Source organism: Homo sapiens, chromosome 2, assembly GCF_000001405.40.
Source record: "Homo sapiens chromosome 2, GRCh38.p14 Primary Assembly".
NCBI classification, from domain to species: Eukaryota; Metazoa; Chordata; class Mammalia; order Primates; family Hominidae; genus Homo; species Homo sapiens.
The window spans coordinates 39,123,258-39,140,785 of NC_000002.12; the positions used below are offsets into that span (position 1 = coordinate 39,123,258).

Sequence of the window (17,528 nt, forward strand, 5' to 3'; positions counted from 1 at the left end):
TGCTAGCACTAAATCAAATCAGTCCTCTATTTTTGGTTGTTGGTTTCCCTCCTGCCCCCAAATAAAATGTAAACTCCTAGAGAGAGAGAAACAATCTTTTTTTTTTTTTTTTCTTTTTCTGAGACAGAGTCTCATTTTGTTGCCCAGGCTAGAATGCAGGCGGAATCTTGGCTCACTACAACCTCCACTTCCCAGGTTCAAGTGATTTTCCTGCCTCAGCTTCCCGAGTAGCTGGGACTACAGGCGCACGCCACCAAGCCCGGCCAATTTTTGTATTTTTAGTAGAGGTGGGGTTTCGCTAGGTTGGCCAGGCTGGTCTCGAACTCCTGACCTCAAGCAATCCACCCACCTCCGCCTCCCAAAGTGCTGGGACTACAGGCGTGAGCCACCGCGCCCGGCCGAGATCAACAATCTTGTGCGTTTCGTTCTTCATTGGTTTTAATCGTATCCCCGGGGCCTACAATGCCTGCACACAGTAGGTAGCAATAAATATTGTCGAAGGAATAAAATGTGCATGCAGGAAAGTTCCAGGACTACATAATCAACGTTGTTTCCAGAAAACGGGCGATTTTCGGGGTGTGCAGGTAAAAAGCGTACATTCACTCACTCGGGCTAAGAGGTTGGGCATGTTGACCTCTAAGATCCCCTTCAACTCCGAATCTCTGATTTGACTGCAGAGGAAAACAAGCCCTAGAAACATGGGTTACAGCCTGGGCTAGGCTTGCTTAGCGGCCAGGGCAGGTTTTCACTAGCATGGCCGTTTGGGCCGTAGACAGGGCGGGTAACTGGAGAGAAACTGCAGTGAAGAGACTCAGTGCTTCGCAGCGGGGAGACCTACAGGGAGTGCCAGGGTCAGCCCCGCTAAGGTCAAGGAGCACTCCATCACCCCTGTACTGCTTGCCTGTATCTCTTGGGACAAAACAAAACACCTATGTCCATTCAGCAAGAGAAGACAACCGTGCGGACTCAGAAACGTGCAGACGGGTAGGCACGTGTAGACGTAAAAGTGTCGCCCACCAATCCCCCGCGCCAGCCCCTCAGCTTTTACCGCCGACGGGTGCGCCCTGGCGCAGGCGCAGAGGCTTCTTTTCGCTTCCCTCCTCAGCTCTAAGGAGCCTCACGCCACGGCGGACGTGACGCACGAGGCGCGTCCGGGCGGAATAGGCGAAGACCGAGAGGGGCGCGTCCAGGCGGGCTAGCCGAGTTCCGAGCGCGGCGCATCGGAGTAGGGCGGCGAGGACGGGGGCGGGGGTGGGCGTTTGGCCCTTCAGTGTGCCCCCTGCAGGTGCAAGTGCAACGCTCCGCGCCTTTGCCTGCCCTGCTGGCCAGGACGCGGCCACCTGGTTCTCTGCCTTGCTGCAGCCACAGTGATCCTTCTGACGCGAACTTCGGACCCAGCTACTTACTTTTCTGTTCAAGAACTCACACTGGCGTCCCAGGATAAATTCCAAAGTCCTTAACCTGGTATCCATGGCCTTGCACAATCGGACCGCTACTTATCTTTCTAGCTGTATCTCTCACTCAAAATGAACTGCTCTTGCCTCCTACAAACACATCACTTCTGTCTCTGTCTCCTGCTATTCAGAATGCCTGTCGCCTTTTTTCTCTAATGCCGCCCACCACAGCCCCACCCCAGCTCCCAGATACACGCTCGCGCTGGAACTCTTATCCACCCTGCGCGCCCTCAGCTCAAATGCTACCTTCTCTCTAAAGTTTTTTTTTTGTTTTCGGCTCTGATTCCTTCAGAGCCGAACAGGTAGAAGGAACAGCAGTTTCAGCCATCAGCAGTTAAGGTACTCTCTCCTCCAGAACATATTCACCCTCTGTCTTTCCCTCACCCTCTGTCTTTCCAATGCCTCCTTTCAATTCCTCTCCTCCAAAAAATGTATCTCCAGGAAACACACCAGAGAAAATAGTGACTGAGAAGAACACTAGATGCCCACTCTTTACTCACCTTTAGCTAATACTTTGAGTCCCCCGCCCTCTTCCTCCCTCTCTGTTTCCATCCCTGCCTTTGCAAAGATGGTACAGTTAGAAGAGATTATCAGAGGTTCTCCAAGACATATGGGACTATTCCTCGCACTTCTTTCTCGGGATTTCTGCAGGGAGCTTATAGGATATGCCCAAGTTTATCTTCTAAGAGAGAAGAGAAGACTTTTTGCAAAAGTCTCTTTCCAGTTGATTCAAGTTGTAATAGCTCCTCAAATTGATCACATCCAAATGCAATGTGACTTTAACGAAATTCCCAACAGGGATTGTCATGGAATTTGACAAACTCATTCTTAAAGGTATATGAAAGAGCAAAAGGCTAATTCTCCTGTAAAAGAAGAAGGTAGGGGAACTTGATTTACCAGATGTGAAAACTGATTACGTAGCTAAAGTAATTAAAACAATGGATATTAGCACAAGAACCTACAAACCAATTGATCAGTAGACAGCCAAATATATAGAAACCTGATACCGTAAGCATTGCAGATAAATAGGTAAAGGCTATACTGTTCAATAAATGAAATAATGTGCAATAGATAAATGCACATAGAAAAAATATACTTGTAACTCCCACCCTACGCAAAACAATCCCATTGGATTGAAGAAAGTGCAAAAAGCAAAATTATAAAACTCTGAGAAGGCTGGGCGCCAGTGGCTCACGCCTGTAATCCCAGCACTTTGGGAGGCCGAGGCCTGTAATCCCAGCACTTTGGGAGGCCGAGGCATGAGGGCAAGAGATCGAGACCATCCTGGCCCACATGGTGAAACCCCGTCTCTACCAAAAATACAAAAAAATTAGCCGGGCGTGGTGGCGCATGCGCCTGTAATCTCAGCTACTCGGCAGGCTGAGGCAGGAGAGTTGCTTGAACCCGGGAGGCGGAGTTTGCAATGAGTCGAGATCGCCCCACTGCAGTCCAGCCTGGATGACAGAGCAAGACTCCGTCTCAAAAAAAAAAAAAAATCTGAGAAGAAAATAAGGAATATCTTTTGTTGTTGTTGTTGTTGTTGTTGTTGTTGTTGTTGTTGTTGTTGAGATGGAGTCTGGCTCTGTCGCCCAGGCTGGAGTGCAGTGGCCTGATCTCAGCTCACTGCAACCTCCGCGTCCCAGGTTCAAGCGATTCTCCTGCCTCAGCCTCCCGAGTAGCTGGGACTACAGGCGCCCGCCACCACACCCAGCTAATTTTTTGTATTTTTAGTAGAGACGAGGTTTCACCGTGTTAGCCAGGATGGTCTCCATCTCCTGACCTCGTGATCCGCCCACCTCGGCATCCCAAAGTGTTGGGATTACAGACGTGAGCCACGGCGCCCGGCCACCTTTTGCATTCTTAACTCCAGCTCAGCATCTGCTTCCCAGGGGACCCAACTGATTTGTATATGTATATTGTTTTATAGGATAACAACTAATATTTTTAATTATGATGAATCCATATAAATACCTCAAATTTATTGATTATAGAAATATATCTGTAATTTTCCAAAGTGATTTATTTCTTTAAAAAATGTGGAGAAATTGATGTGGCTCTGAATCTATAAGGAAAGAGCTTGCAGTTTACCATCATTTTGGCTACTTGCTTTTTTTTTTGAGACAGAGTCTTGCTCTGTTGCCCAGGCTGGGGTGCAGTGGCACAATCTTGGCTCACCACAACCTCCGCCTCCTGGGTTCAAGCAATTCTCCTGCTTCAGCCCCCCGAGTAGCTGGGACTACAGGCGCACGCCACCATGCCCTGCTAATTTTTGTATTTTTAGTAGAGACAGGGTTTCACTATCTTGGCCAGGGTGGTCTCAAACTCCTGACCTCGTGATCTGCCCATCTTGGCCTCCCAAAGTGCTGGGATTACAGGCGTGAGCCACCGTGCCCAGCCTTGGCTATGTTTCTTAAACATAGTTTACTTATGATAAATATAGCTCAGGCATTCATATTTCATCAGACCTATTATTTTTTGACTGCTTCTGACAGAGACACCCTCTTTATTTTTTGACCAATAAATGACCAGCAACTGTAAAAAAGGGAAAGAGAAAGAAAAATACAGAAACAAAATAACACATCCCATCATCCCTTGTGCAACAGCTCATTTCCCAAAATCTTTGAAAATTACTTATACATGCATGATTTATGAAGGGAACGCCAGGAACACAGTTTCATAAGGATTGTATTAAAGGTTTCTCTCCCCGAGGCAGAAACATTGCTTTTTTAGAATTGTTTTCCTCTTAACCTCTTTTCTCTAAAACTGAAAAAGTTTGCCTTGATTTATAGGGTGTAGAGTTTTTTTTTCTTAAGTCTAACATAGAAGTTAAAACAAAAACAGAACCTTGGGATGGAAAATAGTAACGGTTAAAGAAGAATTGAATTTTAATTTGCTCAGCTGATCAGGCAAAAATGGGTTTTCTTATAACTGAGACTACAGTTCTCATGAAATATTTCATTATAATATTCCTTTTAGTTGTTTATTGATTTAGTTCGGAGAATGTAGAACAGAGGGAAAGAGGACTGAAATGAAACCTCTGTGCTGAATAAGTCTAGTGCATTTCTTATAAATTTATTCCTGATTCTTATCAAGTTTGTTGTCATTTGAAGTGGGATTTTTAATCTGCATTTCTACGTGATTATTGCTGGGTTAAAGAAAAAGTATTGTTTTTCATATAGTTGGCTTAAATCTGGCCTCTTTAATTTTTCATTAGTTCTAATAGTTTTCTTTCTAAAATAACATCTCTGATTCTCTACAATCATTTTATATGCAAACTATGATATTTTGCCTTCAGCCTTTTTATAAATGCTGGAGGATTAGGACTTAGGCTAAGGATTCAGCAGCAACTCCTGGACCCCATTTCTGCTCTGCCTTGACCAAAATTGGCAATGCAGCCATCACTGATGTTGAAAGCTGCTGAATCAGGAAGTCATCTGCCAAATTAATAAGCTGCTGCACAACAGCTGGCTGCAGACCATGCCACCTCTGCCACAGTCTACCCCAGCAAAGCAGATCCTCTTGATATCACCTCTGTCTACATATGACTCAGTTTCAAATCAGTCTCAACAAATGCTTCTGTTTCGTGGGATGCAAATCATATCTCAAGCCCTAGCCACAGGAGAGTCTAGAAAATGTAGTTTTTTAGCTTCTGCCTGTATGTTCATTCTAGAGCATACTAATATGCAATATCTGCCATATCATTCTTTAGCATGTCTAGAAAATTTTCTATTTCTTTTTAAAAATTGTGATACAGGCTGGGTGAGGTGGTTCATGCCTGTAATCTCAGCATTTTGGGAGGCCAAGGTGGGCAGATCACCCAAGGTCAGGAGTTTGAGACCAGCCTGGCCAACATGATGAAATCCCATCTCTACTAAAAATACAAAAATTAGCTGGGCATGGAGGCACATGCCTGTAATCCCAGCTACTCGGGAGGCTGAGGTGTGAGGATCACTTGAGCCTGGGAGATGGAGGTTGCAATGATCAGAGATCATGCACTGCACTCCAGCCTGAGCAACAGAGCTAGACTCTGTTTCAAAAACAAAAGAAAAAGAAAAGAGTGATAAAATACACATAATACAAAATTTATCATCTTAACCTTTTATTTTACTTTTTTTTTAAGCTAGTCAGGTGAAGCAGTGGGAGTGGAGAAGGAACAAAGAAATCTGTAACTAGTTGTAATCAATTAGTTGTATACACCACTGCACTCAGACCAGCCCTTAACCAATTTAAAATATATAGTTTAGTAGTGTTAAGTATATCCACATTATTGTGCAATCAATCACAAGAATTCTTTTCATCTTGCAAAAGCGAAACTCTGAACCCACTGAACAACAACTCTCCATTTCCCCTCCCCACCAGGCCCTGGGAACCACCATTCTACTTTCTGTTTCTATGAATTTGACTACTCTAGATACCTCATATAAGTAGAATCATACAGTGTTTGTCTTTTTGTGACTGGCTTGTTTCACTTAAGGTTGAATAATATCCTCAAGGTTCATCCATGTTGTAGCATGTGTCAGAATCTCCTTCCTTTTTAAGGCTGAATAATTTTCCATTGTATGTATATGACACATTTGTTTATTCAGCAGATCACTGTTCATCTGAGATGAATAAATCTCAGATGACTGTAACCTCAAGAGACATGGGTTGTTTGACCTTTTGTGAATAATGCTGCTATGAACCTGGGTGCACAAGTATTTCTTTGGGATGCTGCTTTCAATTATTTTGCATATATATTCATCCCTCTATTTATTTTGATCTATGAGCTTTCAAAAGGAAAAGCTGCTGAATGTTATGAGATAATTTTTCAGTATCTGTAGCAGATTGTTTTTTAAGATGGCCACAGTATCTCTCGTTCTACATGCTTGACACTGTCTCCATTGCTTCCAACAAAACTGTCATCTGTGGACTGAACGAGGAACTCACTTTGGAGCTAAAGAAGTGCAGCAATGGGCTCATACTCATGGAGTTCACTGGTCTTACAATGACCCCCACCATCTTGAAGCAGCTGGCTTGATAGAATGGTGGAATGGCCTTTTGAAGATGCAGTTATATTGCCCATTACATGACAACACCTTATAGAGCTGGGGCAAAGTTCTCCAGCAGGTTGTATGTTCTTCTGAATCAGCATCCAATATATGGTACTGTTTCTCCCAGAATCAGAATTCATGGGTCCAGCAATCAAGGGGTGGAAATGGAGGTGGCAGCACTCACCATCATCCCTAGTGATCCACTAGCAAAATTTTTGCTTCCTGTTCCCAAGACATGCTCTGCTGGCCCAAAGGTCTTTAGTTCTATAGGGAGGAATGCTTTAATCAGGAGACACAACAATGATTTCATTAAATTGTAAGTAAGACTGCCACCTGCTCCCTTTGGGTGCCTTATGATTCTGGGTCAACAGACCAAGAAGGGAGTTATGGTGTTGGCTGGGATGATTGATCGGGACTACTAAATTGGATACTCCACAATGCTGGTAAGAAATAATATGTCTGGAATACAGGAGATCCGTTGGGGTACCTCTTAGTATTACCATGCCCTGTGATTAAAGTCAATGGGAAACTACAACTCAAATCAGGCAGGACTTCAAATGGCCCAGATCCTTTAGGAATGAAGATTTGGGTGACCCCACCAAGTAAAGAACTATGACCAGTTGAGATGCTTACTGAAGGCAGAGAGAATACAGAATAGATAATAGAAGTTAACTATAAACAACAGCTACAACCATGTGACCAGTTATAGACTCAAGGACTGTAATTGTCATAAGAATTTCCTCCCTATTTTGTTAAGAATACATTTGTGGCCAGGCGCGGTGGCTCACACCTGTAATCCCAGCACTTTAGGAAGCTGAAGCAGGCAGATTGCTTGAGCCCAGGAGTTTGAGACCAGGTGGGGAACATGGCAAAACTCTGTCTCTACTAAAAATACAAAAATTAGCTGGGTGTGGTGGTGTGTGCCTGTAGTTGCAGCTACTCAAGAGGCTAAAGCAGGAGGATCACCTAAGCCGGCAAGGTATAGGTGACAGTGAGCCGAGATCGTGCCACTGCACTCCAGCCTGGGCAACAGAGTAAGACCCTGTCCCCCACCCCCAAAAAATACATTTGTGTGTATATATACACATATTAAGCAAAGACAGGTTTTTTCCATCTTATTCCTTTATCATGTAAGATAAGCTAGCTGTTTTGACTTTATATCAATATTTTTAAGTATTCATAATTTTATATCATGGTATTTAAATTATGGGATATCAGAAGAGTAAACATCACTCAAGAACTTTACCCCCTCTACTGGGGAAGGGACTAGTGTGTTTTCAGTTGTACACAGGATACTTGTATCATGTAAGGTGGAACTATGACTTTGTTATTGTCTGTCTGTCCTTCTTCCTTCCTTCCTTCCTTCCTTCCATTTCTCTTTTTCTCTCTTTCTCTCTTTCTTTCCGACATGTTCTCACTCTGTTGCCCAGGCTGGAGTGCAGTGGCACAATCACGGCTCACTGCAGCCTTGAACTCCTGGGCTCAAGCAATCCTCCCACTTTAGTCCCCAGTATCTGGGACCACCAGGCCTGGCTAATTTATTTTTATTTTTATTTTTGGTAGAGACATGCTCTCACTATGTTGCCCAGGCTGCTCTGGAACTCTTAGGCTCAAGAGATTCTCCCACCTCAGCCCCCCAAAGTGTTGGGATTACAGGAGTGAGCCACCACACCCAGCTTGCTATTGTCTTTATTTGAAGATTAAGTATGGCCTAAGGAGACACATATGGTTCAGAAGTATTTGGCTTTGGCAAAATCATAATAATAATTAAATTTTTAAAAAGGAGACGTGTGACAAGTTGACAAGGGGTGGACTTGTGATGGTAATTTTAGGTGTCAGTTTGACTGAATTAAGGGAAACCTAGACATCTGGTAAAACATTATTTCTGGGTATGTCCGTGAAGGTGTTTCTGGAGGAGATGGGCATTGAATCAGTGGACGAAATAAGGAATATCTGCCCTCATCCAATGTGGGCAGTCACCGTCATGTTCACCGAGGGCCTGGATAGAACAAAAAGGCAGAGGCAAGGCAAATGTGTTCTCTCTTCTAGAGGTGTGACCCATCTTTTGCTGCCCTTATGCATCAGAACTCCACGTTCTTGGGCAAGAGGCCCCTGATTTCTCAGCCCTTGGCCTCAGGCTGAGTTACGTTATTGGCTCCCCTGGTTCTCAGGCCTTTGGGCTCAGACTGAATTATACCACTAGCTTCCCTGCTTCATCAGCTTGCAGGCAATGTATCATGGGACTTCTCAGCCTCCATAATTGCATGAGCCGATTCCCATAATAAATCTCCTCTTGTATGTATATTATTGGTTCTGTTTTTCTGGAGAACACTGACTAATACAGATTGGTGGGGTCCATATCCTGTTTTCTGGAACTTAGGAAGATCTCTGTGACTGCCTGGACAAATAAGTACTGCAGAAGGGCTACTGTGTTATTTATGAGGCTGGATCCTAAAAATGCCATGCACTTCCACCTTCTTCTCTTGGAATGTTTATTCTTGGAACCCATCAGTCACGCTATGAGAAAGCTCAGATGAACCCCTGGAGAAAGCACCCGGAGAGGCCACGTGTAAGTTTTCCATCTGATAGCCCAGCTGAGGTGCGAAACAATATCCAGCTTCAAGTACCAAACAAGTGAATGATGATACCGCCAGATGATTCTGTTGCTCAGCAATCAAGTCACTCCATACTTTGAGTCTTCTTAGCTGAGGCTCTAGACATTGTGGAGAGATAAATTGTCCCTGCTGTGCTCTGTTCTGATTACTGACTCACAGAATCTATGAGTAGAACCCATTGGTTACTTTATGCTACAAAGTTTTTGGGTGGTTTGTTACACAGCAATAGATAACTGATAACAGTATCTGATCATATGATCATTTGGTAATTCTTTCATCATTTAATGTAATATTTAAGCACTTGTGTATTCCTAAAATAAACTCTTCTTGCTCATGTTGTATTATTCTATTGATAAACTTTTGGGTTTAGTTGCTAATATGATGGAGATAAAATATTATTATTTCAAAACAAAGCTGGGGCCGGGTACAGTGCCTCCTGCCTGTAATCCCAGCACTTTGGGAGGCCAAGGCAGGCAGATCACTTGAGGTCGGGAGTTTGAGACCAACCTGGTCAACATGGTGTGAACCCTGTCTCTAGTAAAAAAAAATATATATATACAAAAATTAGCCAGGCGTGGTGGTGGGCACCTGTAATTCCAGCTACTTGGGAGGCTGTGGCAGGAGGATCACTTGAACCCAGGAGACAGAGGTTACAGTGAGCCAAGATAATGCCACTGCACTCCAGCCTGGGTGACAGAGTGAGACACTATCTCAAAAAAGAGATAAAAATAAGAAATAAAACAGAGTTGGTCTTAACTGCCTCTGCCTTCTAAGGGGGAAGGTAATATAATTCACATCAGATTTGAAATGAATATCAATAACTTTCCTCCTTTAAGAGCAATCTCTTGCTGTCTTTTCTCTCTTTAGCTTAAATTTCATTATTATTATTATTATTATTATGCCTTTGAACATACTTTTCCATTTCCTTGCCTCTCTCCATTTGCCACACTTGCCTTGCAAAAAGTCCAGTCTCAAATAACCTCAAACATCCACTAGTTCTGTGTGTGCTCCTGTGTACCCAAGCATTACTAGAGAATCGTACAATTGCACCACTTGGTGTCACCTTAACTTCCTAATCTTAAGCCTCAAAGGGGTGCTCAATATCACCCAGAAATCTACTGAATCTCTAGTAAACTCTATACATCAATCTTCAGAACACCTAGTTACAGCATTTCCTCTTTTCTTGTACCTTTTTTCCCCATCTATTTCCACCTGCCTTTTGTTCCTGACCTTGACTTTTACTTTATTGAGTAAATCAAAATCATCAACCTGGAGCTCCCTCATGTTGCCATTACCTTCTGCTTCGTTCTTGGTTTTGTTTGTTTGTTTGTTTGAGACAGTCTCACTCTGTCACCCAGGCTGGAGTGCAGTGGTGCAATCTTGGCTCTCTGCAACCTCCGCCTCCTGGGTTCAAGCTATTCTGCTGCCTCAGCCTCCCCAGTAGCTGAGATTACAGGCATGTGCCACCATGCCCCTGCTAATTTTTGGATTTTTAGTAGACAGGTTTCACTATGTTGGCCAGCTGGTCTCAAACTCCTGACCTCAAATGATCTGCCCTCCTTGGCCTCCCAAAGTGCTGGGATTACAGGCATGAGCCACCACGCCTGGACAGTTTTTTAACTTTTAGTAGAGACAGGATCTCACTATGTGGCCCAAGCTAGGCTCCAACTCCTGAACTCAAGCGATCCTCCCACCTCAGCCTCCCAAAGTGCTGGGATTATAGGCATGAGCCACCATGCCAGGCCAGCCCTCTGTTTCATTCTTCATACATAGGCCATGCTCTATCACCCCGTGCTGCCTTTTTCAAATAATTGCTTTGGCTGTGGGGAAAAGAAATTAGCAGTTTTTGAGCATCTCACATCCCAGGTACCTTACTTACATTTTATTTTATGAGACAGTTGTTAATATCCCCATTTTTCTGAGGAGAAAACTGGGGCCCAGTGAATGTAAGCCCTCTGCCCTACCTACATCACCCATTACAAAGCTGTCAACAAACTCCAAGGTCAGCTCTTGCTTCACTCCATCCCAGTGGCTCCTCATGTCAAGGACTATATGTACATTGCTTTTTCAGATTAATCTTTTTGAAAAGCGAGACTGTTCACAAGAGGAAAGTCCCAATATCTTTGTTTATTAATCTTTCGAGGGACATCAGTGTGTAAGGCTATTGTCAGGTCCAGCTGGGGCTGATGGCAGGCTCTGACTTGAAGAGGTCCCCTTGCTCAATCCCTTTCTTGTTCGTCAGCATTTTGTTTTTAGGAGGTAAGTATGATCATTAGTCACTATTCAACTCTTACCCTTAAAACTCAGTGCTAGAAAAATGGATCCTTGACCTACGTTCATGAAACCAAAAACACATTTCTGTGTTTGTGATATATGCATTGCATGTGCCACTCTATATTTGGGCACTGTAAAAAACATGAGACCCAGGCCGGGCATGGTGGCCCATGCCTGTAATCCCAGCACTTTGGGAGGCTGAGGCTGGAGGATCACAAGGTCAGCAGTTCGAGACCAGCCTGGCCAACATGGTGAAACCCCATCTCTACTAAAAATACAAAAATTAGCCGGGGGTGGTGGCACATGCCTGTAATCCCAGCTACTCGGGAGGCTGAGGAAGGATAGTAGCTTGAACACGGGAGGCGGAAGTTGCAGTGAGCCGAGATCCCGCCAGGGCACTCCAGCCTGGAACAGAGGGAGACTCCGTCTCAAAAAATAAATAAATAAATAAATAAATAAATAAATAAATAAATAAATAAATAAATGAGACCCATGCTAAGTTACCACCACCAGAGGAAAAAGAAAAGGCTATTTTGTACAATTTTATAAACTTTAAAAACTATGAAATATTAAAACATGGCCGGGCGCAGTGGCTCACGCCTATAATCCCAGCACTTTGGGAGGCCGAGGCAGGCGGATCACGAGGTCAGGAGATCGAGACCATCCTGGCTAACACGGTGAAACCCTATCTCTACTAAAAATACAAAAAAAAATTAGCCGGGCGTGGTGGCGGGCTCCTGTAGTCCCAGCTACTTGGGAGGCTGAAGCAGGAGAATGGCGTGAACCCGGTAGGCGGAGCTTGCAGTGAGCCGAGATGGCGCCACTGCACTCCAGCCTGAGAGACAGAGCAAGACTCCGTCTCATAAAAAAAAAAAAAAAAAAAAAAAAAAAATTAAAACATCTTCTCAAAACCAAGTAAATAAGTGTGCATGCTTATGTGCACTTTGGAATGTCTTTAATTATGTGTTTCTTTGTATATCATTATCATGGAATGCAGATGAGCCAAAATGGCTGGACACACTTTCCCCTCTTGGTTCTCAACTGGCACATCTGACTTTGGCTTTCATCTAAAGGCAGATCCCAACTAGAGTTTGGGACCACTGGGAGAATTCCTATGGCCCTTGGGGATAAGAAGTAAGGATCTGGATACTGCAGAAGAAGTAAAATAGGTCTCAGCCCTTCAAAGCCTTCGCTTTGCCCTCCTTTCCTGGCTCTACAACCCATTGCTATGACAGCAAGTGACAAAAGGGTATCTTACTGGGGTAGAAGCGTGGGAGGAAGTGGGAGGGGAAGGCAATGTTGATTGAGGCATGGGATAAAAATATATAAAAACGTTAAGCCCAGAACTGCATAATTTCAGCCTTATCAGCTTTGCTGAAAGTGATATTTATAATGCACTTGCAACATAGGAAAAATGAAAGCAGGCCCTGTTTCTCTGTGTCACCTTCTCCTTCCCCACCTGACAGACAGGCTGAGGCTTCAGACTACCGGGAGCTTCCCTCCACCCATACTGCCCACTGGCTACCTCTATGATTTGTCTCCCTATTCCTTACCCAAATCCTGCTGCCCTAGCCCCTCACTTGCCTAATTCCGAAGTTCTATTTCCTCAGAGATTCTAATTTCACTGAACCAAACACTGACATGCAATCTGTATTTTTACCTGTCCTGTCACTTCCCCTTCTTCCAGTGGGAGCTTTTCTTTGGGGAACCAACTTTTCCCCATGGATGACCATCAAGATTATTAATGAGGCCGGGCACGGTGGCTCACGCCTGTAATCCCAGCACTTTAGGAGGCTGAGGCAGGCGGGTCACGAGGTCAGGAGATCGAGATCATCCTGGCTAACACGGTGAAACCCCGTCTCTACTAAAAAATACAAAAAATTAGCCAGGCGTGGTGGCGGGCGCCTGTAGTCCCAGCTACTCAGGAGGCTGAGGCAAGAGAATGGCGTGAACCCGGGAGGCAGAGCTTGCAGTGAGCCAAGATAGCGCCACTGCACTCCAGCCTGGACAACAGAGCGAGACTCTATCTCAAAAAAAAAAAAAAAAAAAGAAAAAAAGATCTTTAATGAGATTCACTTAAAAAAGACAGGAGTCGGAGAGGTGGTCTTTGAGGCACCGTTGAAATTATGCCTACTCCAGCTCTAAGTGCATTTATTCCTCAGAGCAGCCTCAAGATTGGAATGGGGATTCCTTAAGGAGAGTAATCTGGGACCTATCCGAAATGCATTGTCAACTAGCCTCTTTTTACAGATAGTACCGAGCAAAGAAACATATATTTTCTGAAAAGATCTCCCTTAATCTACCTCATTATCACACAAAGAATTTTACAAAAGTGGTTTGTGGTTTTACATGTAGCGAGAAAGTAATACTCAGTTCAAAAGAACTGAGTTAACTTATTTAATTTATTTTTGCAGAGTAAAGGATTCCTAGTCCCCCATATAAAGCAGAGTGGCTGCGGCAACATTGATTTTTTTAAAGTTATCTTAAAACATTTATCTTTCACATTATTTTAAAATCTATATTGCTAAGACAAGCGTCTTTCTTAGAAAAAGAAATCTCTGATGCAATGTTACAAAAATAATTTTCGCTGGAGATGGTGTCTCTCTATTGCTATTTTTTGATTTTGTAGCTGCAGCATGCAGTAATGTCTTCCAGCCTAATTTCTTCAGGCTTTGTTACCCTCTGCCATTATGGAAAACATTTAGTTCAAGACCCCCACCCCTTTTTTTTTTCTTTTTTTTTTTTTGAGATTGAGTCTTGCTCTGTTGCCCAGGCTGGAGTGCAAAGGCATAATCTCAGCTCACTGCAACCTCCGCCTACTAGGTTCAAGTGATTCTCATTGCCTCAGCCTCCCAAGTAGCTGGGATTACAGGCACGTGCCACCACGCCCAGCTTATTTGTTGTATTTTTAGTAGAGATGGGGTTTCCTCATGTTGACCAGGCTGGTCTTGAACTCCTGGCCTCAAGTGATCCACCTGCCCCAGCCTCCCAAAGTACTAAGATTACAGGCATGAGCCACCGCCCCCGGACCCTTATGATTTTCTCAATAACATTTTATTTCCTCTAGCTTACTTTATTTTAAGAATACAGTATATAAGACATATAAGGGCTGGGCAAGATGGCTCACGCCTGTAATCTCAGCACTTTGGGAAGCCGAGGTGGGCGGGTCACCTGAGGTCAGGAGTTCGAGACCAGCCTGGCCAACATGGAGTAACCCTGTCTCTACCAAAAATACAAAAATTAGCGGGGTGTGGTGGCACGCACCTGTAGTCCCAGCTACTTGGGAAGCTGAGGCAGGAGAATCATTTGAACCTGGGAGGAGGAGGTTGCAGTGAGCCGAGATTGTACCACTGCACTCCAGCCTGGGCAACAGAGCAAGACTCCATCTCAAAAAAAAAAAAGACATACAAGATACAAAACACATGTTAATAGACTTTATATTATCAGTAAGGCTCCTAGTCAGTAGGCTATTAGTAGTTAAGTTTTTCGAGAGTCAAAAGTTATACTCAGTGGCCAGTTGATACTGTATATATCTATGGTTTGTAAAAAGAAGAAAACAAAACTGAGACAAACTTTTGATGCTCCTTGCTTGGCGCTGAGGCTGTTGGGGAAGATGCCTTTTGGAGCGGCTGCGGCTCAGCGCATGCACTGTGAGCCTGGACCTGTTGACTTTGCAGCAGTCATACATTTAGCTTCAGATTGTCTTGTTTCTGTATATAGTGACACAGCATTCTGCTGCCATTCTTAGTTGTGTCCAACTTAGCGGTGTCTGTTGACATAAGAAGTGTTTGGAATTTTTTTTTTTTTTGAGACGGAGTTTCGCTCTTGTTGCCCAGGCTGGAGTGCAAAGGTGCAATCTCTGCTCACCACAACCTCCGCCTCCCGGGTTCAAGCAATTCTCCTGCCTCAGACTCCTGCATAGCTGGGATTGCAGGCATGCACCACCACGCCCGGCTAATTTTGTATTTTTAGTAGAGATGGGTTTCTCCATGTTGGTCAGGCTGGTCTCGAACTCCTGACCTCAGGTGATCTGCTGCCTCAGCCTCCCAAAGTGCTGGAATTACAGGTGTGAGCCACTGCACCCGGCCTTTTTTTTTTTTTTTTGTGATGGAATCTCGCTCTGTTGCCCAGGCTGGAGCGCACTCGCGCAATCTCGGCTCACTGCAATCTCCACCTCCCAGGTTTAAGCAATTCTCTGCCTCAGCCTCCCGAGTAGCTGGGATTATAGGTGACTGCCACCATGCCCAGGTAATTTTTGTGTTTTTAGTAGAGAGGAGGTTTCACCATATTGGCCAGGCTGGTCTGGTCTTGAACTCCTAACCTCGTGATCCACCTGCCTTGGCCTCCCACAGTGCTAGGATTACAGGCGTGAGCCACCGCGCCCAGCCTAAGTGTGATAGTTTTCAAAGTGTTTGTTAAACAAACTGTAGAACTCTTCATTGTCAGCAAAGTGAAGAGTCACTGCCATCAATGAAAGTTCAAGAACCTTCTGTACGTAAACTCGATTTGCACGTTCTGTTATTTTTGTTTTGTTTAGTTTAGAATGCTGGAATGTTTTTGAAGTTAAACAGTATTACATTAAAAGAAGAAGAAGAAAAAGAAGAACAGTTGTTTGTGTGAATATCCTGTTCTTCAATAACCCATCACCTGATTGTTTAGATAAGTGGTTCTCAAAGTGTTGTTCTGGAACTGGCATAATCTGGGAGTTTGATAGAAAAGCAAATTATTGGGTTCCACTTCAGACCTGCTGAATTAGAAACTCTGGGGTGGCATCCAGTAATCTCTGTTTTAACAAGCCTCTAGGTGATTCTGATGCACACTGACATTTGAGAACCACAGGTTTAGATAACTCTTGCTTTAATTAATTATAACACTGGGGTTGCAAAATGGTGAATTTCCAGTATTCATTGAATGTTTATTAGCTGCCATTCTTCTATATAGAAAAGCCTTCCTTTCTCTTTATCCCCCCTCTCCCCCATCACCACCCCCATCACTATGGATTCATAGACATTGGAAACTCAGTTGCTAATTCTTGAATGCCACCATTCTTTCTCATGTCCAGCTAGTTCTTCATTTATCTGATAGAATTCCCTTCAGGCTATTCCTGTGTTCTTTCCACCTGGCCCCAGAGTTTTTGAGAGCACCCTTGCATTATGATGCAAAAAGACTCAATGATTTGACTGTGTATTTGCTTGTATCTTGAGGGTAAAAACTAAGTCTGCTACTTAATATTTCCCTGAGGGGACTTGATATCTAAATAATGTTCTATATAATAAATGTTCTTGAGCAAGCGAAGTGTTTGAGCATTTTTTTGGAAAGGGCAAAAGGCTGTTCCAAATTACATTGAAGTCTCTGTGATTCTTAGACTAGGATGATGCAAGGTTGATGTAAATTACAGTATTTTGTTATGACTTTAGGCGAATTAATTTGACTCTGAGGTCTGATCCCAAATCAGATAACAGAGAAATATATTTATAGTTGGCAAGAGCAAACTAGAGATAGTGAAATATCTGGTTTCAGTTTTTATTTTGTATAGTTTTAGGATCTATGTAATACAACACATACAAAGCTACTTAAAATATCTCAGTTACTCTTATTGGAGTAACCTAAACACAAAAATTAATTTGCAAAAACAATAATACCTTGCACTTATTAAGTGATTACTGTGAACCGGGAACTGTACCAAGTGCTTAACATGTATTAACTCACATGTTGCTTTGGAAACCTGGATTAGATAAGGGCTTTTATTATTCCTATCTTACAGAAGAGTAAACTGAGGCATAGAAGGTTTAGTAGTTTACACCAGGTCACACAGCTAAGCAGTGGTTTCACATTCCATGGTCTTCACGACCACACTATAAAGCCTTTCTAAATTTGTGCTTGTAAATATAATTAACTAAGGAGTTTGCCCTATGGTTAACTTATTTAGTTTCGTAATATTTTCAGGAAGAGAATAGAAGCAGTGGGATATTGTGTAAAGAGTCCAGGAGTTTTGAAAGTCAAGACCTGCACGTGGGTTCCAATTAAAGCTCATGTATGACCTTGAACAACACTGTTCTGAACTTCAGTTTCTTCATGTATAAACCAGGTCTAATAATAGTTGCCCTACCTAACTCATAGATTGTCATGAGTATCAGATAGTATAATGGGTGTAA

The 17,528-nt window shown here is 43.5% G+C and overlaps 1 protein-coding gene across 2 annotated transcripts in view, besides 4 other annotated features; it reads right to left on the minus strand.

Moving 5' to 3' along the window:
• The window catches only part of SOS1 (SOS Ras/Rac guanine nucleotide exchange factor 1), a 143,320-nt gene extending 141,709 nt beyond the window's left edge, over positions 1–1,611 (minus strand). For both annotated transcript variants that reach the window (XM_047445581.1, NM_001382394.1), the window contains exon 1: positions 1,407–1,611. In XM_047445581.1, the coding sequence (XP_047301537.1) occupies positions 1,407–1,472 (66 nt within the window). In that variant the 5' untranslated portion in view covers positions 1,473–1,611. The remainder of the gene's footprint in view (positions 1–1,406) is intronic.
• Positions 591–760: an enhancer, noted in NCBI's record as "active region_15613". NCBI's record gives its function as "activates an Ori minimal core promoter by ATAC-STARR-seq in GM12878 lymphoblastoid cells {active_cell/tissue: GM12878}" and the evidence as "EXISTENCE:reporter gene assay evidence [ECO:0000049][PMID:35858748]".
• Positions 791–940: an enhancer, noted in NCBI's record as "active region_15614". NCBI's record gives its function as "activates an Ori minimal core promoter by ATAC-STARR-seq in GM12878 lymphoblastoid cells {active_cell/tissue: GM12878}" and the evidence as "EXISTENCE:reporter gene assay evidence [ECO:0000049][PMID:35858748]".
• Positions 1,241–1,370: a silencer, noted in NCBI's record as "silent region_11385". NCBI's record gives its function as "represses an Ori minimal core promoter by ATAC-STARR-seq in GM12878 lymphoblastoid cells {active_cell/tissue: GM12878}" and the evidence as "EXISTENCE:reporter gene assay evidence [ECO:0000049][PMID:35858748]".
• Positions 5,758–5,857: an enhancer, noted in NCBI's record as "active region_15615". NCBI's record gives its function as "activates an Ori minimal core promoter by ATAC-STARR-seq in GM12878 lymphoblastoid cells {active_cell/tissue: GM12878}" and the evidence as "EXISTENCE:reporter gene assay evidence [ECO:0000049][PMID:35858748]".